Genomic DNA, 23106 nt, shown 5'->3' on the forward strand with positions numbered 1-23106 from the left:
TTGCTGCCATCAGCCAGGCCAAGCAAGAGGGGAGGTGTCCTGCACCCTGCACCACCACCTCTCACAGTTGGAGGGGCACTCAACACAGATGCAGATCACACAGGCTCAGATGCTCACCAGCTAAGCTCCAAGGCCTCTCCAGGACAAGGATAAATGAAGACAACTCTGAATGAGAGGACACAGGCCTGGTGTTCAGCCCAGGAGATAGGCCGGCTCAGAGCATGGAGGAGGGTGGTCACAGCCAGAGAGCAGGGACTCTCTCAGACAGCTGTTTCCTGCTGGGATCTGCTTCACAGAGGCTGGACTGCCACCCCACACACCCCTCCCAGGGACTGCTGTCTTGACTGCTGTCTCCAGGCAGTTTTTACCCCATAACCCTTCAGATTCAAGTCCAGGGATTGGAACTATGATTCCTGATTCTATGGACTTGAGATTCCCGAGGCCTGGATCTTGCTGGTGACACTTCACTGGCCTTTGCTTCCAAGGACTTCCACCTCCAGCTGGATTTGTGTGATTGGGTTCTCCTTGGCTCCATAACCTCAGAGTCTCTGGCTCTCCACACCTCTGCTTGCACGTCACTAAAAGAAGCCTATAGACAACTTTCCCAGATTGTGGGTGAGAGAAACAGCTGGGAAATATCTTGCCTATGCTGAGAATAAACACAGCCATTGCCTTTCAGTGGAAATCTTTGTTCTAGTTCTCCTTTGATGCCAAGGAGTAGGCAGGTATTGAGAACTCTGATGAGAGGCCTTCACACTCTTGCCAGTGTTGGTTCTTCACTTGCTAACAGGCTTGTGATTCCCTCTGCTGTAGAGACCAACCCTGGATTTAGCCTGCTGTTCTCTCCCACATCAGGCTTCCTGGTCCTACAGATGGGTGCATCGTGGATCATGGTCTTCAACCTCAGCAGGACCTCTGTGCTCCCCGGGGTCCTTTTCAGCACTAGCGCCCCTGATTTCCCACGGTCCTTTAAAAGCTGCCTCCCTTTAGGCCATGATGTGACCTCACTTTCTATATCCCAGAGAGAACAGTCATCAGAGAAGATGTCCTCAGTCCTGCTGCACCCTCAAGCCTCCTCATTTCCCCTCCATCCCAGAGCTCTATCTAAGGAGCCCCTCTTCCTAAGGTATATATGCTCTGCCTCCTCAGGAAGTCAACTATTATTTATGTCTCCCTTTAAGCAAATGAACATATGCAAACCAATCCCTGAGCTACTAGCCCTAAGCCATCAATATTAGTTAGCCTTCTCCACAGAAACAAAGCCAATAGGATGGATGGATAGGTAGATAATAGATAGATAGATAGATAGATAGGAAATGATAGATAGATACATAAATAAGATAGATAAGAAATAGATAAAACAGATAGATACAAAAGATATATATAGTATAGATTAGATAGAAGATAGAAAGATGATAGATAGATAGATAGATAGATAGATAGATAGATTAGATAATAGATAGATATGAAAGATGATAGATTAGATAGATGGATAGATGGATGGATAGATGATAGATAGGTAGGCAGATAAATGGATAGATAGATAAGAAAGATGATTGATCGATGGATAGATTAGATAGACAGATTAGATAGACAGATGGATGAATGGACAGATTGATAAGAAAGAAAGATGATATAAAAACAGATAAGAAAGATGATAGATTAGATATATGGATAGATGATAGATAGGTAGAAGAATGGGTAGATAGATAGGTGGATGGCTGAATGCATAGATAGATATGCAGACATGATAGATAAGAAAGATGATAGATACATAGCTAAGAAAATAGATAGATAGATAATAGATAGATGATAGATAGATAGATAATAGAAAGATAGATAAACAAATTTTAAGGAATTGGCTTATGTGATAGTGCGGCTGGCAAGTCTAAATTCTGCAGGGCAGCTCAGCAGTCTAGAAACCCTGGGAAGACTTGATGTTGTAGCTCAAGTTTGAAGGCAGAGTCTGCAGACAGAGTATCCTCTTGCTTGAGGGACCTTAGTCTTTTCGTCTTAAGGCTTCAGCTAATTGGAGGAAGCCCACTGACATTATAGACAATCATCTGCTTTACTCGAAATCTACTGTTTCAAATGCTAATCTCATCTTTAAAATACTGTCACAGCAATGTCCAGACTGGTATTTGCCCAAATAGCTGGGCACTGTGGCCAAGCTAAGTTGACACATGAAATTAACAGATTACGCAAGTTATAATTGTGGTCAAGAGCTCTTATATGTTTACTGTTAGTCTTTGTGCTAAATTAATCACATACAGTTTCTTATTTAATCCTCTTGATGCCCCAAGAGGTAGATCCCATTGCTGTCCCCACTTTACAGATAGGAATTTTAAGTTACACAGTGAAGGGCAGAGCTCTTCTTCAAACTCAAGTCTAGCTAACTCAGAAGATTATATTCTTAATCACTGATCTGTGCCACCTTCCAGCTGCTTTCCCTATTCTGGCTTTTTATTCTCTGATTATAAACATATTAACATCTCTCTGATTCAACAAAACAGAACTTCCCATGATCTGTTTTCTCTCTTTCTCAGGGAACCATCTTTGCAAGAGTGGCCTCCTCTTGGCGGCTCCAGTTCTTAGTCTTCTTTAACCCACGGCATTCTGGTATCCGCTCCACCAGAACAAGAAAACAATGTTGACCAAGGTAACAAATGATATCCATGGATATGGTTATTTTATCTTGGCATTTATTGTAACACAGAAGCAATTGTCCATTGTTTTAAAAAATCAGAAAAGCACTTCTGGTCAAGATAGCATTTGTGTAGATACACATTTGTGTCACCCATTCTGCCATAAACACGTAGTAGCTATAGATAATTTTTTTTTAATGGAGCATGTAAAAAGGGTATAACTGAGCTCACAAATGAGATAGTCAGTTTTGCAGACCAGAAACAGAAGAGAAACATACAGCAGTTAGTGGGCAAGACTTTGGCTTCTGGGTGTAACTAAGCTAATCTGGCTCCAAGGAAACAGGAACTGAATACGCTGTAGATGAGGCAGGGTTCAGGGCTGAAACTAAGTCTGGTGGATTCTCCACTTAGGACGAGAGATTGCTGAAAACGCCTGCAAACAACTGCTTGAGATTTTAGCTTATGTGAAGCTGAGGGACTAGGTGGGCAGTGATCAAGACAGAACAAGAAGCAGAACCTGAACTAAGCCACTTGCTCACTGAGTGAGACACCCACATTGCCAATAAGCAAGAGCTACCATCATCAATATAAGGTTCAAATAGCAGGCAGGCTGATAGAGGAAACTCAAAACTCCTAGACAAGAAAAGAAGAATAGACAGAAAAAGAGGGAAAGAGAGAAGAGTGTAAAGGATCAAGCTTTAAGTGAACCTGAAAATTAGAAGTCCAAAACATAAAAAGAAATCTATCTCCAAGGGATAATAGCTAACAAATCAATATTGATAGATTTTTTTGCTTCAAGTGAAACTAAAATAGTAAAACAATCTGAAAAAGAATTTAAAAATACATGTGTTCCAGATATTTAAAACAGAAAGTGAAGGAATAAGATGAAATAAATAAGAATATAAAATGTGAAACAAAAATAGACAGAAATGAACTTTCTTTTCTTTTTCTTGAGAAGGAGTCTCGCTCTGTCACCCAGGCTGGAGTGCAGTGGCACAATCTCGGCTCACTGCAAGCTCTGCCTCCAGGGTTCACACCATTCTTCTGCCTCAACCTCCCAAGTAGCTGGGACTACAGGTGCCCGCCACCACGCCCAGCTAATTTTTTTTTTTTTGTATTTTTAGTAGAGATGGGGTTTCACCATGTTAGCCAAGAAATGAACTTTAAAAAAAATGAATATGGCCAGGTGTGGTGGCTCACGCCTGTAATCCTAGCACTTTGGGAGGCTGAGGTGGGTGGATCACCTGAGGTCGGTAGTTGGAGACCAGCATGACCAATGTGGAGAAACCCTGTCTCTACTAAAAATACAAAATTAGCCGAGTGTGGTGGCACATGCCTGTAATCCAAGTTACTTGGGAGGCTGAGACAGGAGAGTCACTTGCACCCAGGAGGCAGAGGTTGTGGTGAGCCAATATCATGCCATTGCACTCCAGCCTGGGCAACAAGAGTGAAACTCCATCTCAAAAAAAAAAAGAAAAAAATGGAAAAGAAACAATTATTAACCTTGGAAATATAAAATACAGTTCCTGAAATTTTAAAACGTCTAATAGATTGGATAAAATTTCAGACTTTGTACAGTCATAAAAATAATTGAATTGAAAGATGATGCCAGAGAGTTCACCCAAAAATATGGCACAGACAGCCAAAGTTTAAAGTTATGTAAGAACAATTGAGAAAGATGGAGAATAATTGGAGAGGCTACAACTTACAGCACATGGAAGTTGCAGAGAAGGAGAGTAAATAAAAAAATAATAAAAGAATGATGGTTAAGAACTTTCCAGAATGGTAGAAAGACCAAACTCTTAGGCTGAAAGTGTATTCTGAGTGAAGTTGCAGAATGTCCAAATAAAGAAAATATTTTTTTTTAAATTATACTTTAAGTTCTAGGGTACGTGTGCACAACATGCAGGTTTGTTACATATGTATACATGTGCCATGTTGGTGTGCTGCACCCATTAACTGGTCATTTACATTAGGTATATCTCCTAATACTGTCCCTCCCCCCAAGAAAATCTTAAAGGCAATCAGAGAGAAGAATTAGATTATCTAACAATGAAGCACAGTTAGACTGATGGTAATTTTCTCATGAGCCACAATGAAGTCAGAGATAGTAATAACAACAGCTAACACTTAAATGGTACTATGTCCCAAGCATAATGCAAAGTACTTCATGCATATTAACTAATTTAATCTTCACAACAATTCTGTGAGATGGGATTCTTATTATCCCCTTTTTACAGTTGAGGAAACTGAGCCAAAAGGAAGTTTAATGGTTCTTGTCCAAGGTCTTGCATCTAGTAAGTAGAGAAGCTGGGACTCAAACTGAGCTGATCTGGCTCCAAATGCTCATACTTACTGCTCTGTAATGCTTCTCACTGTAGAGAAATATGTTCAAAGTAATGAGGGAAAATAAATGACAACCTAAGATTTTATTTCCAGCTAAATTAAGAAATGTTTTGGTGCACGAAAATTAAAAGACATATATTACCCATAGACATTCATTTTAAAAATTATTAATGTATGTATTTCCACAAGAAGAAAAATTAACTAAAAGGGAAGGCATAGGAGTCAAGAAACAGTGAGGACTTGATCATCTGTTTGGTAAACTTAATTATGAAGTATAAAAATTATTAATTTTTTTCTTTTGTTTCTTTCTTTTTTTCTTTTTTCTTTTTTTTTTTTTTTTTCTTTTTTGAGATGGAGTCTGACTCTGTCACCCAGGCTGGAGTGCAGTGGCACTATCTCAGCTCACTGCCACTATCTGAGCTCACTGCCACCTCTACCTCCTGGGTTCAAGGGATTCTCCTGTCTCAGCCTCTCAAGTAGCTGGGATTACAGGCGTGTGCCACCACACCTGGCTAATTTTTGTATTTTTAGTAGAGATGGGGTTTCACCATGTTGGCCAGCCTGGTCTTGAACTCCTGGCCTCAAGTGATCTGCCCACCTCGGCCTCCCAAAGTGCTGGGATTACAGGCATGAGCCACCAAGCCTGGCCAAAAATTATTAATTTTTAAAGAAGAGATAAAACTTAGCTGACAATAACAAGATAAGTAAGATGATAATTATAATGTGTTTATGTTTCTTTTCATGATTTAAATGAGCACAGAAATATGGAATGACTTCAGATTTATTTTGTGTGAATTATAAAGGTAATAGAAAACTTTATCAATGCAGCAGAGTAAATGGAAGGAAAAAAGGAAACAAAGAAAATGAACGGCAAATAGAAAGTGCAAAATAAAATGGTAGGAATTGCTTCAAGTAGATCAGTAATTACAATAAATGTAAATGGAATAAATTCATTGATAAAGATGTAGGGATTATCAGATTAAAGTTTTTAAAATTCTGGGGCATACTGTCAAAGCCACATAGCAAAATTGTAGTAGAGGTAGAGAAAAAGATATACAATATTGTACAAATACTAACAAGAATAATGCTGAGATTATAATAGTTAAGTCAGACAAAATAAAGTTTAATGTAAAAAAAGTAATAGCAACAAAGGGATGATATAGAACATTAAAAGAAATGACTTTCTAAGAATGTATAGTAGTAATAAACTTACATGGCCTTACCAATGTAACCTCAAAATATAAAAAGCAAAACTGACTAAATTACTAGAAAAAATGGGAAAAAATTGTTATAATGGAAAATTTTAACTGATCTTTTAAAAATGTTATATAAAGCTGACAAAAATATTTAGAATTTAAATTTAAACAAAAACATTAAACACTTTAAAATCTATATAAAATGCTGTATCCATTAAATGAAGAATACACATTATTTTCAGATACATGTGGAACACTTAAAAAGTGATCATATGTTAGATCACAATATTTTCAAAGAGATAAAATAATAAGGTCTACATTCTCTGTTCACATTGCAATTAAATTGAATGTCAAACTTCCAAAAGTTTGGAAACTAAAAAATGCACTCTAAACAACAGATGGGTTAGAAGGGAAATCATAATGAAACAGAAAATATTTTGAACTGAAGAGCATTCAAATGATTACATATCAAACAAGTATACAGCTAAAGTGATACTTTGAGGTAAATATAACCCCTACTACCCGCCACATACACACACTCCACCTACCCAGTTCCTTCCCTGGAAATTGCTTATGTTTCCAGTTTCGTTTGTATTCATCCACAGATATTCAAACCGTATGCAAGCATATATGTATAGGCTTAGTAATGTGCAAAACAATGTGTGCAGTATGCTACCATTGGTATAAAAATGTTATAAGAAATACATACAAATTTCAGTTCATACATCTTGAAGATTTTCTTTTTTATGACTGCACTATATTAATTGTGCAACCTGTGAATCATTTGCATTAAAATCAGAAACAAGACAAGGATGCCCACTCTCAGCCAACTATTCAGTACTGGAGTTCCTGTCTAAGGCAAAGCTGGAAAATAAATAAGCAGCTTAATACTTGGAAGAGAAGAGGTGAGACTTTTTATATGCAGGCAATACAATTATCTGCATAGAAATCCCTCCTCCCAAACCCCAGGAATATTCACTGTCAGATTATTCAAATGAATATGTGAGTTAAACAAGATTGCTGGATGCAAAATCAACATTTTAAAAATGGTTATGTTTTTATATGCTCTAAATTCAGAATTTTAATTGAAAAATATCTCATCATACCATTACATGTCACATCCTCCAATCATCATGAAAAACAAGAAAAGAACATGGCACCTGCAGACTAAAGCTTGAAAAATCCCAATAAAGATGTTCTCTCTCTCTCTCTCTCTCTTTTTTTTTTTAATCAGATTGCTTCATTTGCCTGTGCCTGAGCCAACGATTGTGGTGCAGAGAGAGATAGGATCTGTGATTAACAGTCTTTGGTAAAACAGATGAATGAGGCAAGGAAGGAACAATTATCTCCAAATAGGTGGGGATCTTCAGTAGCAAACGTGTTTTTTATCTACCACACATCTCTCTCCCCAGTAAACAGCTCATTAAGGGCAAAGACTATGTTGAATTGTCTCTTCAGCACCTAGGCTTAGCACTGTGCCTTACATATGACAAAGTCTCAATAAGTAATCAGTGAATGAGTGAGTGCATGTGAGCCAGGACCAACAAGACTGGATCAGCCTCTCCTTTTGCAAGACCACCCAGAACCCCCACAGCTGGGGACAGAGACTCTTCACCAAGCCCCAGCTGAGTGAGTGGGAAATGAGGGAAGTAGCTTTTGATTGATATAAATGGGATCACTTAGAGGACAAATGTGACTGCCACCCAAGGCACTGATGTAGGACCCTTGAAGGGAAGTGATCACATTGAACTTGGCTGTGTCCAACATGGTTAGTGGTTTCCAGGAGTGTAGAGTCTTCTGTGCATTGGGAAATGAGGACAGCCTCTCATTTTGCCCAGCATTTTTTGGGACTGGTTCCCTTTTATTTCATGACCTAAGAGAAATAAGTGATCCTGTCTTTTTTTTTCTTTTTTTGAGACAGGGTCTTGGTCTGTCATCAAGCTAGACCGTAGTGGCATGATCATAGCTCACTGCAGTCTCCAATTCCTGGGCTCAAGAGATCCTCCAACCTCAGCCTCCTGAATAGCTGGGACTAGGTAAGAGTCACCATACCCAGCTAATTTAAATATATATATATATATATATATATGTGTGTGTGTGTGTGTGTGTGTGTCTGTCTGTATGTGTGTATTTATATGTATATATGTATATATATATATACACACACATATATGTATTCGTAGAGATGGGGTCAACACAGTTAATGTTGCCCAGGCTGGTCTCAAACTCTGACCTCAAGTGATCCTCTCACCTCAGCTTTCCAAAGTTCTGGGATTACAGGAGTGAGCCACCATGCCTAAGTGATCTTGCCTCTTAAGTACAGACAGAACCCCCAATGCTGCTCTCTTCAGCCTCAATACCACCATTAATTAAGCACACAAAGGGACAGTGAGAGGAAATTGACATTTGAATATAACCAGAGATTGGTGGAAATCTTTTAGGAGCAAGGACTCCTGCAGTGTCTTTGCCCAAGCCATGCGTTTTGCTGTAACACCACATTGTCTCCTCCCAAGACCCAAGTTCTCTTTGCCCTTTGAGGCTGAACACATATCACACTTCCCTGGGGAAGTCTTCCATGACTATTCTCCTTAGAGAGCATTTCTCTGGACACTGAACTCCTGTAGCACTATCACCAATATCTAACTCTCTTTTCTGTGCCACATTTTTTCCTCTTGGAGACTTTTCTTCCTCCCAACACTTTGGAAATCTGATGGGCTGTCAATCAAGGGGAACTGCCTTCCCACCACCTGAGGAGCCATAAAACTCAGGTTGGCCAACCCGAGTACCCCATTTACCTGACACAGTGATGGGTCCAAGAGTGGGCAAAGGAACAAAATGGGCTTTGGGAGAGGGAGGATTTCTCTCCTTCTGACGGACCATGGCTGGAGACAATGAGCATCAGGTTTTCTGCAACATGGAAAAAGTGTCAAGAAGTGAGGGCACACTGAGGAAAGCAAATTTGAGATATGGGCAAAGAATATCCTGATTATATCACAAGAGTGCCCTGGATTGAGCTGTGCCTGAAGCGAGACTACTCTACTACGTGAGCCAGCGCCTTTCCCTTTTGTCTTGAAGTGCTCTGAACTTGAGTTCCCTCAAACCAACAGTCTCGACCAATTCTCTCTCTTATAATTAGGACCATTTATTTGGCACATAAAATTATTGCAACCCAGTGAAGCTGGTTCCTCAGAATGTCTCACTTTTTTACAGAAAGATTTGACTAAACTCTGCTATATATCAGGGCCATCAGGCCAGACTCTTGGTTTCTTTCTGTATGAGCCCTTGTTTCTTTATTTTGTAAAAAAATGTTTTTCAACCTTTCTTTTTGCACACTTTTTTCTCTCCATATGGTCTATCATGCTTTGGTGCCAAAATAATTTAGACTCACATCAAATTGCTTAAGATAGCTTATGCAGAATTTCCACTGCTCTCTGGCTTTGTCTGAGCCTCCCCCTCTGGGGTGTGTGTGTGTGTGTGTGTGTGTGTGTGTGTGTGTGTGTACTGTCTCCTTCCCTCACTCACTGCTCCATTTAGGAAACAGGTGTGCACAACCTCACAACCCCATTCTCCAAATGCCTCCTTCTCAGCCCAACACCTCACTTGAAGATAGCTTTTGCAGAATCGGGTGCCAAGAAAGGATCCCTCCCCTAAGGCCTCAGGGGACCCCCAGATTTAGGACACTCCTGGGTGTTCTCTGGTGCAGTCTCTCATCTGTTTTCAAAGAGCTGGAGAGCAGGGATCTGGCTAATTCTCCTGTCACCATCTCAGGCTCTACCTTAACTTAATCACCCTTTATCATGTGAGTACTTGCTCTAGAGCCCACAGTGGCTCCCTTGTGCTACCCACACCTAAACCAACCTCGTGCCAGAACCTGCCCTGCTTAGGCTAACTTCCTTCCTGCACGTTCTCTCTCCATCCCCCAGATTGGTGGGCTGACCCTCTCCCTGCTTCATAAAAAAATATCAAGCTCATTCTCCCCTCAAGACTTTTGCTCTTTGTGCTCTTCCTGTCTGGAATACCCTTCTCTCTTCTTTCTCCCTCCTCCAAATCTTACACAGCCCACTTCAAGTCCCTCCTCTTCTGTGCAGCCTTCTCTGATTTTTCTAGTTCATGATTTACCCCTTTTCTGAATTGTTCCATAGTTAGGACTATACAGCTTGTTATTTAGCTGTTGCACACTTTGGTATTTGACTCTATCTTGCCCCCTTACTGAAATATGTGTTTTTTGAATTTAAGGACCATTTCTTAAGCAGGTTTTATTCCTCTCACTCCATCAAGCATGGAAACAGTTGCTCACACATTGTAGCTCATAGGCGTCATAGGCATCATCCTGGGAATTTGTTTTAGAAATACAGATTCCCTGGATCCTCCCTTGGAGAGTCTGACTTTTAATAGGTTTGGGGCAAGATGCTTGGATCTGTGCTTTTAAAAGCCCCATGACGTAAGGCATTGCTGAAGCGAGTTTGGAAAACAGTTTGGGTGAATATATTGTCAAACCTCAAATCAAGATACTCATCTGACAAGCTCAAGTATTTTTATGACAAAAAGCCACAGGACATTTTAAATGTGTAGGGACTTGGAAATCCCAGGATGTGTGGTTCTCCTGCACTTGGTGACGGGGCTCCATTTTGGAGGTCATATGGTGTGATGGCTAAGAGCATGGGCTTGGAGTCTGACAAGGGTTTGAATCCTGGTTCACTCACTCATTGTGGGACTTTGAACAATATAACCTCTCTGAACCTTCGCTTCCTCATCTGTTAAACAGAAGTAAAAATAGAAGCCACTTTCCAGGATGACTGTGAGAATTAAACAAGGTCCCATATGTAAAGCACTCAGCTCCATGCCTGGCACAGAATACATAGTTGTAACAAGTACTAGCAGGTGTTAAATTATTGAAGTTGGAAAATCTGCCAGTTTGTAGGAAGTTTTTGATCCAGGAAACTCTATGTTGGTGAGGCACACTCTCTATTGCTTTTGAGAGGGAGCACTCGGGAAGACCTCTTAGTCCTAATGAAAGTGCTTACCCACCACTGGGGAGGAGGGGTCCAACATCATGAAGCAGCTGAAAGGCAGACTGAGAAGTACTCTATCTATTATGCAAATTGGGAGTACTCCCAGCACTATCTCCTTGCTGAGTTAGAGAACCTTTTCCTTCCTCAATCTGTATTTATGCAGCATCACAACTGGAAATCATTGTTTGTTTCTTGGAAGTACTTGTGCCCTTGCCCTTTCTTTGCCCACAGGAGATTGAGGGGACATCCGTAGCAGAGGGACGGAGAGCCTGGACTTTTCACTCCTAATGTCAGAGGAAAAACTATGACCAGGACTTAGCCTGGGCCAGGATGTTGTGACCACCATATGGTGTCATTTAAGACCAGCAAACCCAGGCTTTAGAAATGCATTAGCTGTGTCTTATATGAGGCAGGGGGACAAGCCCAGCAGGTGGAATGGGGCTTTGCATGCAAGCAATAGATCAGCAGATCAATGGATCAATGGGCCAGTGAATCACTTGCTGAATGGGTTTCTCCTACAGGCCGTGAATACTCCCATGGGTCAAGAAAAGAACAGGGTCTTAGTTTGGGCAGACGGAAGTTTTCCTCCCCTCTTAGGGACCAACAGGCACTTGGATCTGTACTATGAGAGGACAAGAAGCCTGGAAAATGTCATTCTGAGGGAGGTTCATGGCCTCTGGTACCATTTTCGAGACATGGGTTCAAAGGTTCTGTGTCACATGGCATTCTGCCAGGGAGGTGGGAACTCTCAGCTCAAGCAGTAGGTGAAAAGCCCTCTCTTGTTTAAGCTTCAGTTTCCATAATTTTTGACAGGATCTCATGGGAAGAATTTAGTGGCAGAAATAACTTAGCGGAGATCATCCCTTCCTGGGGTGGGAGTCTTAGTGGCAGTTACCAGCAGAAAAGCTAATGGGGTAACCCGAGAAATCTTCCTGGAGGAGGAGATGTTGGCTGAATCATCGATCAGCTCATATCACTGAGCCAAATGCTTGTCATTGGCTTTGGGGGGGCAACGTAGGGCCCACAGTTCCCCTCATCATCCTCAGAGTTGACACTCCCCAGTGCCTCACAGAGATGATTTCAGGGTTCAGAAATTCTGACTCCCAACCCCCTTGGGTCCACTTCCCCTCTTATCATGCAGGCCATCTCCCCGGTCTTGGCTTACCCTGTGACCACACTGCATTCTCCTTCCACATGCCCTGACACACGCTCTGAAATGCCAGGGTTCTCATGAGTCCAGCCTGCCAGGAGCAAGGCTTGCCAAAGCTGTGTCCCAGCCAAGCGGGTGGCCTGCGGAGTGAGCCATAGGACTGCATTCAGCCCAGTTCCAAGCTGGAAGGTGAGGGCAGCCTCCCAACTATTTCTTCCAACCTCAGAAACGATTCAGTGCTGGCAGTTCACACGAGGTCCCCCTGACATCTCCAGTCAGGAATGCAACTTGCTGTGGATTCTGAGGCAAAGAGAAGACCATTAGGAAGGAGGGAAGTCATTAGCAGATGGGATGACCGGCATGCATGAGAGACACATCTGCCTTTCCCTGAGGTGCCCAGGGGCTTGTGTGTGGAGCCTTCTGGGACTCTCTGACCACTTGAGACCCAGAAGATCAAAGGTCTGGTAGCCACGGCCCGCTTTGAATCCATAATTCCTTGCCTCTCACAAATGAAGGGAAGAAAAGTTGTCAGGAGGCAAAGCTGTAGCTAGCAGTTTGGCCAACATGCATGGATTGTAAACATTATTTAGTAAAAGCCTTCAAGGATGGAAGAGAGGAGTCAGGAACTCTATTCTTGACCATCTCAAAGCACTCTTGACCTCAAGGGAACTCCTGCTGCAGACTCCCTGCCCTTAACCTTCAGTCCTGCTCCATACATTTTTGTATCCTCTAACACGCCCCTGATGTGGCCTGGCTGACAATTTCTGCTGGCTGCTACCCCCCAAACCAGGGCTGGCTTGGCTCAATACACAGAGGGCACTCTGGGTTCTAGAGCATGTATTGGCTGGATATATAGTATATATAGTGATCCCACTGGTGGGTAGAGGGTACTCGAGCAGTGCTTCTCAAACTTTCATGTGCCTAGATTTATCTGGGGCTCTTGTTGAAGTGCAGATTCTGATTGAGTAATTTTGGGTGGGCCCAAGATTCTGCCCTTCTAGGAAGCCCACAGTTGAGGTCAATACTTCCAGTCCACGACTATACTTGGAAAAAGAAAGTGCTAGAAGGCTCAGCAGCTACTGCTGTGAGATCAGGACTTGCAATTCTTGTACAGAGGTCCAAATAGCACCCTCATTAAAAAGACCAGATGCCTCCCTGCCCTCATAGCTGCAGTCACTTAGCTCCCACCAGAAGGCCCAACTCCTCCCCAAACTCAGGTACCCAATATCTTGAGAGATACAAAGGGGCTGTGGGGGTTGTTATTCCCCCTCTATCCACTTCACCCTCCTATTCTCAGTGTTAGATTCTCCTCTACAACCTCCCAGCTTCCTGGGTTGACCAGCCTCTCTGCTTCACCCTCCAGTGCCAGGCCACAACCTGCCTGCTGGTGCTATGGGATGAATGTGCATCCCCCAAAGTCATATATTGAAGCTCTAATCCCCAATGACTGTGATGATGTTAAAAGGTGGGGTCTTTGGGAGGTAATTAGGTTTACATGAAGTCATGAGAGTGGAACCCCTATTCTGAAATTAGTGCCCTTATAAGAAAAGAAGGAGACCTTCTCTCTCTGACATGTGAGGACACAGCAAGAAGGTGGTCATCTGCAAGCCAGAAAGAGAGTCCTTACCAGAAAACTGAATCAGCAGGCACCTTGATCTTGGACTTCCCAGCCTCCAGAATTGTGAGAAACTAATGTTTGTTGTTTAAGCCACACAGTCTATGGTATTCTGTTATAGCAGGCTGAGCTGACTAGGATACTTGGAGTGCCTGGTCCCTTCATGGGCAGCACTAATTAATGAACACAGAGTTCTCCTCATTCCTGCAAGACTACCAGTGCCTCCTTTTCTGGCCCCGGCTAGAAAGAGCAATCTCTGCCTTTTCCATGCTGCTACTATTACCTGGAACATATAACCATAATATTAGTCACGGTGTGATTGCGATTCTGCATCTACATAATTGTCACTTCTGCTATCCTTGAGGGAGGAAATAATAATGCAGAGCTGAGCACATAATGTATATTCATTGAATCAATGATGCTGTTATTCCTGGTCCCTCTTCCTTGGGAGGCCCCTCCCTCAAATCCTTGGAGACAGTCACTATGTCTATCCTGTAGGGGACTTTTCTGGTTTAATAGCTCCAGTTTCTCCAACCCCAACCAACTTCTCCATTTAGAAGTGTTTAAGACACTAATTCTCAAGTTTGGCTGCTTGTTGAAATTAACAGGGGAGTTTTAAAAATACTGAGTCTAACCCTCAGAGATTCTGATTTATTTGGTTTGGAGTGTGACCTGGCCATCGGGATTTTTTTTAAAAAACCCAATGCTGCTAATATGCAGCTAGGTTTGAGAGCCACTTGGAGTCAGGAATTTTAGGTTCCTACCCAGCACTTTAGTCTCCAGACAGCAATGCTGTCCGGCCTGTTCTAATCATAGGTCCCCCAGTGTGAGTGAACAAGCTCTTACCTTGATCTTGAAACTAGTTCTTTCTATGAAGAGAAGGCACAGGGCTACACTAGCAAGGGACCAGAGGCTGGCATGAGACAGACCCACCATTTAAATAGGCATGACTCGAAGCAATTGTCTCCACCTCTCTAAGCCTTCGTTTCCTTACCAATAAAATGGGATCATGGTGTAGTCAGTTTCTACTGGATAACAAACCACCCCAAAACTTAGTGGCTGCGTTAGTCCATTTTCACACTGCTGATAAAGACATACCCAAGACTGGGCAATTTACAAAAGAAAGAGGTTTAATTGGACTTACACTTCCACATGGCTGGGGAAGCCTCACAATCATGGTGGAAGGCAAGGAAGAGCAAGTCACGTCTTACGTGGATGGCAGCAGGCAAAGAGAGCTTGTACAGGAAACCTCCCCCTTACAATAACCGTCAGCTCTCATGAGACTTATTTGCTATCATGAGAACAGCACAGGAAAGATCTGCCCCCGTGATTCAATTACCTCCCACCAGGTGCCTCCCACAACACATGGGAATTCAAGATGAGATGTGGGTGGGGACATAGCCAAACCATATCAGTGGCTAAAAGCACAAACATTTATTCTTTCACACAATTCTGTGGGACGGCTGGACAGTTCTGGTCTGGATGGACTCACCTGGAGCTAGATGGTCTAGGAGGGCCTCCTGCAGATGTCTGGCCATTGGCTTGACATCAGCTGGGGTGACACAGATGGCTTGGCTGGTGTCTGTGTCTCTCATCATCAGGCAGGCCATCTCAAGCTTGTTCATCTGGAGGTCACCAGGTTCTGAGGGAGTGAGCCTCAAGATACTTTTCAAGCCTGTTTGCTAATGTTCCATTGGCCAAAGCTAGCATAGGGACCAAGGGGAAACTTCCCTTTCACTCTCTTGAGGCCTGCTGAAAATCAACTGACAAAGAAGGCAGATTAATAGGAGAAAAGACATACAAAATTTATTTTAATGTGCACAGCATGAGGGAATTGCAGAATATTACTCAGTATCTCCATGTGGTCCAGATTCTTATATAACTTTCTCCATAAGGAAGGGGGGAGATGGGAAATGTTGGTAATTCTTTTGAGGAGCAGTAAATGATTATTAGGGAGAATGAATGGACCCAGGAGACTGAAATTCAATTGTAAATTATTCTGTTTGGAATCTAAACAAACCTGAGAGACAGATATTATCTTATAAAAAGGTCTGTCCAGTTGTTGTTACATTACTCAGTCTTTGTTTCTTGATAGATAATGAGATTTCAGGGATGGGACGGGAAGCAATTGTTCCACTTGGTGGGTCAAGTCTTCATGCAGCTAAGGGAAAAGCCTCCTCCAGCATCCACTGGTCTCCAATGGCCTTGAATTTGAAATATTCATCATACCAGGATGCCATATTTTGGGGTGAAATTCTCTGGGCGTCTTCATTTGTCAAGGCCAGCCCAGAGCCATGTTTGTTGCAGATGTTTCCCTGCAAGTCATGCCATTAATTCATTGATTTCTCCTAGAGATTAATTCATTCATTCATGTATTCATCATAGAGGTGCTGGGTGTCTGCTACATGCCAGGCATTGTACCAGGTGCAATGAATTTTGAAACAAGCAAAAATAGACCCTTACTCCCAGGAGTTTTATCATCCACTGGGAGGGGCATGCAGGTAAATAGAACCCAGAAGTCAACTTGAACTTCAGATTTGTATTTGCATGTGTTTTCTCTGCTTTTGCCCGTTTCAACTTGCACACAGAAATCCTTCTCTTTAGAGTTCCGCATCAGACAAATGTGTCTGTAAGCAATATAGACTTTATGGGCAGCTTCGCAGGGGAAACAAGAAAAGGTAATATGGTACCCAGCACATCAATGGGCCATCGGGTCAAACAACCAGTCAGATGTTTCTGTTCTTCCAAAGTAAAGGTGTCCGAACTCTCTCTTGGAGGAGCCCCACCTTCAATAGTTCCCTCTCTCCCCTTCCCAGAACCTCCTTCAGAAGTACACCCCTCTCCTCTCTGTTATGCAAAGCAAAGCAGCTCTCTCCTGGCTCCCCCACATCAAAACATTTCTTCTCCAATTTACAAAATTAGATCCACCCTGCTTAGAAGTCAGGGTTGGAACCATCTTGTGCTATTCAATCAGGCACTTTGAGATCTTATCTCTTGCCTCCTGTCACCCAAAACAATTTATCAAATTGTTTATTCCAGCGTTCTCCCCAAGAAGATGTTTTGGAGTAAAAATTTTCTCCATCTTCTTCCGTTTACAACTATGTCTAAAATCAAGCATGTTGAATTTTGTGCAAGAGCAACAGGAAGGACTAATTTTTTTTTTTTTTTTTTTTTTTGAGGCAGGGTCTCAATCTGTTGCCCAGGCTGGAGTGCAGTGACAAAAATGACCTCTGGTTGTCCTCACTGCTTATTATATGCCAATTATAATGCCTTAGCAAGCAAAAGACACACCCACGAATGTCACGACAGTTTACAAATGCCATGGCAACATCAGGAAGTTACCCTATATGGTCTAAAACGGAGAAGAACACTCAGTTCCAGGACTTGCCCACTCCTTCCCCAGAAAACTCATGAGTAATCCACCCCTTGTTTAGTATATAATGAAGAAATAACCATAAGTATACTCAGTCAAGCAGCCCACACCACTGCTCTGCCTATGGAGTAGCCATTATCTGTTTGCTTTCTTAATAAACGTGCTTTCACTTTACTCTATGGACCCGCCCCAAATTCTTTCTTTTTTTTTTTTTTTTTGAGATGAAATCTTGCTGTCGCCTAGGCTGGAGCACAGTGTCGTGATCTCGGCTCACTGCAACCTCCACCTCCAGGTTCAAGCAATTCTCCCTGCCTCAGCCTCCCAAGTAGCTGCGGTTACAGGCGCCCACTGCCACTCCTGGCTAATTTTTGTATCTTTAGTGGAGACGGGTCATGTTGGCCAGGCTGGTCTTGAAATCCTGGACTGAAGTTATCTGCCCACCTTGGCCTCCCAAAGTGCTGGGATTACAGGCATTAGCCACTGCACCCAGCTCCCAAATTTGTTCAGGAACCCTCTTTTGGGGTCTACACTGGGACCTCTTCTGGTAACATTACCATAAGTGCCTTTTCTAGTTAGCTAACAGGAGGATAAAACAGGCCAAGCCTTCACCTATTCACGGCACATAGAACAAGAAAGAAAAAACAGTGGCCGTACAGTTTCCATTGTTCCCCCCAAATGTCTGTATGTCATTTATTACCTTGGTTTTGTTTGGCAGGGATGTTGTTGTTGCCTTTCACATGCTTTCGATCTAGACTAATCTCGGCACTCAGATGTCCCTTTGGCCTCACAGAGTAGGATGCCTGGAATCAGAACAAGCCGTGGAGTGCAAAGAAATTCCTCAGTCATGACTACATTATTTTGTTCTTCGTATCAAAAGCAAGCTAGGTGAGAGAATTCATTCATCTTTTACCACACTGCAAGGGACAGAGGCAATTTTTCTCCCAGGATTCAGGACTAAAGTAGATGATCTTCTGGACTTCTCTGTGACATTTCACTGAAATTGCATTTCACCGAAAACAAACAAGCAAACAAAAATCTTCCTTTTGAGAAGATAATCCCCAGAAGTTAAAAGAAAGAGTAGTAGTCCAGTTGGAAGTTGCAAAAAAATGTAAGTACACATGTCATTTGAAGGGGTGCTTGTGTATGTGTGTGTGTGTGTGTGTGTGTGTGGACTCTTTCAGTTGCAAGATAGAGCAACTCAACTACAAGTGGCTTAAACAAAATGGGGGTTTTATTTGTATTATAGAAAAGTCCAAGATAGATCAGTCTTCAGTCATGGCTGGATCCAGGTGCTCAGATGATGTCATATGAGTTCTTATCCCTCTCCCTCACTCATCTCTGGTTCAACATGACCACCAGCAGCCCCAGACTTACATTCTGCCAGCTAGACACATCCCTGGGGGAATGTGTGCTTCTTTCCCAGAAGTCTTTTTAAAAGTTCCAGGTTTGCATCTCAATAGCCCAAATTGGATTTAGTGTCCATCCCTACACCAATATGGGTGCCTCCAATTGGCCAGGCCTTGATCACACACTCCTGAAGCAGGGTGGGTTAAGGCAGACTCCAACCAAACTACATGGACTTTAAAAAAAAAAAAAAAGGATGATATTACCAGAAAGGAAAATGGTTTGGCAACAGCAAAGGATGCCTGTTACAGTGGAATGTGTATGTAATGGTGAAATAAATAAGAAGAAGAAAAGAAAGGCAGCTGGTAGGATGCTGGCAGAGGGCAATGAGCAGGTCTGTCCTAAGTGAACTCGGGTCGGCAGGCTTAGTTCTCAAACCGGTTGCCTTGATTAATGGTAAAAACAATAACATTTCAAGACCTGAAACACATCTCCTTAAATTTCATCAAAGTGTCCAGTAAGTGCTGATGTTTACGGATGTCACCGTCACCCAGGGTTGCTGTTTCCCCTGGACAGCCGGGTAAGCAGGCAGCTGTCTATCAGGACTAAATGAAAGAGGTTCGAAAGCCAATGCAGAAAAGTCGAGAACTTGGCTTGTGCAGTGCATCATAAAGGAAGGAGGGAAGAGGGAGAAGCCTTGGCAATTTGTTTTTAATATTTTTGCTTGTTTTGGATGCCACGAAAGCCTCATATATTGGCTCTTGACTAATAAAAACAGAGGAGAAGCCAGGCTGGAAACCTGGCTGTGTTTCCGTGCACAATTAGGTTTGTTTGTTTAGGTCTCTTTTTATTTGTTTTCAGATGACTCAGATATGAATACTGCAGGCCTTTCAAAGTGAAGTGTTCATATGTGTATTTTAGGTCTAGGGCTTCGCCAAGTGCAGAAAGACTTGGCTCCCTGAGGTTATTTTCCTATCCAGGGGTTTTTCAAACTTTCAAGTGGAGCTGAAGAATGCTGCTGCAAGCCAGGTTCTTTTTCTTAGCAGATCCCAGCTTGGGGTTGTAGGGGGGACAGGGATTGCAAACATACAAACACAAAAATCCCCAAACAGTGCACAAGGGCACCCATTGTGCTGATCCCGGCACTGCCTCTCCCTGATGGCTTTACCATCTGCATACTTCCGTCATCTCTGGAAACCTCTTCACGAGTCTGCCTCCCTTTCACCAGACAACCAAGTCCAGAGGTGGACTCTCCTTTCCTCTCTATCTGGATCTGTGTATAAACTGTTCTGCTTTCAAGATTCTCCTTTTTCATCGCTATAATTTGGAGTCTGAAGCCTCCTATAAAATGCAGAGATATTTACAATCTGGGAAGCTGCCAAGCATCTGGCTGAGCTCCTACCCCTAAGGGTGGTGTCTCCTGCAGGAATGGTTTGCTTCTGGCCAGTTGACCCAGCTTCCAGGGCCCTGGGAAGGGTCTAGGGAGAGGTTGAGCAGTAGTCTTTCTCCCCAGGATGAGCAGGATGCAAACCAGGCAATGATGAAGACCACTCTGGTCTCCTTTCTTGGAGATGAGACTTCTTTCCAGTATCCCTGCCTCTGCATTGATGAATCAGAGAATAGGGACAGCCTGAAGTGGTCCCAGCTGTGTTCAAATACTCAGGATCTATATAGGCACCAGAAGCAGGTTTCCTAAGCTCCCTGGAAGCTGGTCACAGCCTAAGAGTCTCTGACAGCCTCCCTAGCTCACAGACCACGTGAAACGGAAGACACTGACCAATGCATTAGCCAGAGAAGCACTTTCCTATGTTATTCACTCCAGCAAAACGTCTGGTAGCCAAGATTGCATTTTTCAATGCTCCTCTCCCTCTGAATTTGCCCCTCAACTCTTCTGCTTTTAAGACGCTCCTCTTTCAGTGTTGCAGCATAGAGGCTGACGCATCTGAAACTTTTAGGAGAAAGATTTATTCTGTCAGAATTCACATATTTCAGGAATGTCTTTTTTTTCCCCAAACCACTGTCTTCCAGAACTGTATCCTGGGGTCAAAGAAAAAATCGGTCCAATCTTGCACCTTCCACACCTACACTGCTGTGTCAGCACAGGCAGTGATTGGAATAATGGCCCTGTGTCATCTCAGCAGACACTGAGATAAGGATTTGAGTGCAAACAGTTTAGTCGAGCGGCGAGCCCAGGAAGCAACTCAGTGGGGAGATGACCCTGAGCGACTGGACCTCAATCCTGCTGGGGACCCTCTAAGAGGAGGAACAGTGGAATATGCCCGTGATTGTCCCACTGAGGGACAAGGAAGCTGGCTCTTAATGGTTGAGGGTTTATCTTGGCATCTTAACTCCTGGGCACTTCCAAGTACACTGCCAATCAGGGAACATCTTCAGGCAGAAGAGATGTAGAACTTTCCAGAGGCCACTTCCAGGGTAGGCTGAGGGGATTTGGGAAGGGCACCAGCCATGTCTATGGAGTCTTCTATACCCTAAGATGACATAAGGAAAGGACCAGTCATCAGAAAAAGACTGTGCAGTCCTTACTCCACCGTGCCTGCTGAGGCAGGGAAGTGGACTGCACTAGTTGAAACAACAGGGCTAGAAAGCAAAAGGTTTGAGTTCAACTCTCAGTTTGTTGTCTATTGATTTATTTAGCAAATATTCCTGGGCTGCTTGCTAGTAAGTGGCGAGTAGGGATGGTGACGGTTAAAGCTGGCGGTGAGCAAAGGTGAGATCGTAGGATCTAGAAGGCCATACTATGTTGCATAGCCAGGGCAATGAGGTATGCTTTTGATTATTATTCAGTTAATATTTATTTCATTGTTTCTTGTATCCCCCGTCTTCTTTTTAGGTTCAACTTCTTTCTGAAGATCCCCCTTTTAGTGGCTTTTCACTGATGTCTGTGAGGGGTAAACTCTCTCAGTCAAGAATGGATCCATTTTCAAGACTATTTATTCATTCATTCATTCATTCATTCATTCAGAGATAGGGTCTCACTCTGTCGCCCAGGCTGTAGTACAGTGGCACAATCATGGCTAACTTCAGCCTCCACCTCCCTGGCTCAAGCAATCCTCCCACCTTAGCCTCCTGAGTAGCTGGGACCACAGGCGCCTGCCACCATGCCCGGCTAGTTTTTTACATTTTTTGTAGAGACAAGGCCTCCCTGTGTTGCCCAGGCTGGTCTCAAACTCCTGCGCTCTAGCAGTCCTCCTTCCTTGGCCTCCCAAAGTGCTGGGATTACAGGCGTGAACCACTGCACCTGGCCTGGGTACATTTTTCTTGGGGCCTGAAACTGATGCCATTTTGGATCCTCTTTAGGAAAAATAATACAAACTATGAATATAAAATTAAGAATGAAAATATTGACAATGAGAAAAAAATCACTACAAATTATAAAGTTGGAAATGCTGACAAATAAAACAAACATAAAAAAATCCAGAAAGAATACTATTTTTTATTAATTAACTTGACTTTTTCCAACTTCTCATATTGGTGCCACTGGAGTGACGATGGTCATTTTGGAGATTTGACTAGTGGGAAGATGAGATGGTCTACATTTACTTTGGATTTCATGAGATACATTAGGTGATCTGCAGTCCTTTTCATATATAGCTCAGTTATTCAGTTATTGCTGGGTGTACAGATGTTGGAATGGCTTCCAGAAATACTCCTACCATCCACAGGCTGACTTGCCTGGCACACAGCATCAGAGATTGGATGGAGATGCAAATAATTCTACAATGTCTGGCACCAAAAATATGCGGATAGTGAAGAAACAAGATTTAAGATGTATGGAATCACAAGGTAGTCTGTAGAAAACTCTTCCACTTATCAGATATGTAAAACTGTAAGTAGAGGACTCATTCATATTCAATGCCTAGTCAAATGAAAGACTTTTTCCCACCAGAAATATATTTGAGAATGTGGTGCATACAATTATAAACACACCATAAATTTGCAGCTCATATGTGAAAGAAATTCATAAAGGTCTTCCCAAAGTCAACAACAATTCTAAACATGTATATGTTAGTACCGAAAGTGAGCTGTAAAGCTGAAAAAAATTTTTTTAACTTTCAATAACTTAAAAACAAAGTTTGATCTGCCATGTTAGAAAGAAGACTGAATTATCCTTCTATTCTCTTTATAGAAAGTGATATTACAAAATCATCATATTAAGAGATAATTAAAGGATACGTAACTAAAAATGAAAACAGTCTAAATGAAATGTAGTATCCTTGATTGGATCCTAAAACTCAGCACGTTCAGCACAATTTCTCTTGTGAGAGAGCAAAGACACATAAACAGAAATCATTGGTTGGAACTTCTGGGAAAACTTATGAAAGGAGCCAAGCCAAGACTGAAGGACACATAATCTTGCCCTTCACCTCTCCTCCTTCCTGCTGCTAGGAATGTCATTGTGATAGA

The 23106-nt window shown here is 42.6% G+C and overlaps 1 long non-coding RNA gene across 1 annotated transcript; it reads left to right on the plus strand.

Moving 5' to 3' along the window:
- Window positions 1-18234: 18234 nt before the first annotated feature.
- On the plus strand, window positions 18235-22119 carry LOC124900689 (uncharacterized). Its single transcript, XR_007058093.1, has 2 exons — window positions 18235-18445; window positions 21533-22119. It is a non-coding gene; the product is annotated as an uncharacterized LOC124900689 (long non-coding RNA).
- Window positions 22120-23106: the final 987 nt, after the last annotated feature.

This window comes from Homo sapiens, chromosome 4, assembly GCF_000001405.40.
Source record: "Homo sapiens chromosome 4, GRCh38.p14 Primary Assembly".
NCBI lineage: Eukaryota > Metazoa > Chordata > Mammalia > Primates > Hominidae > Homo > Homo sapiens.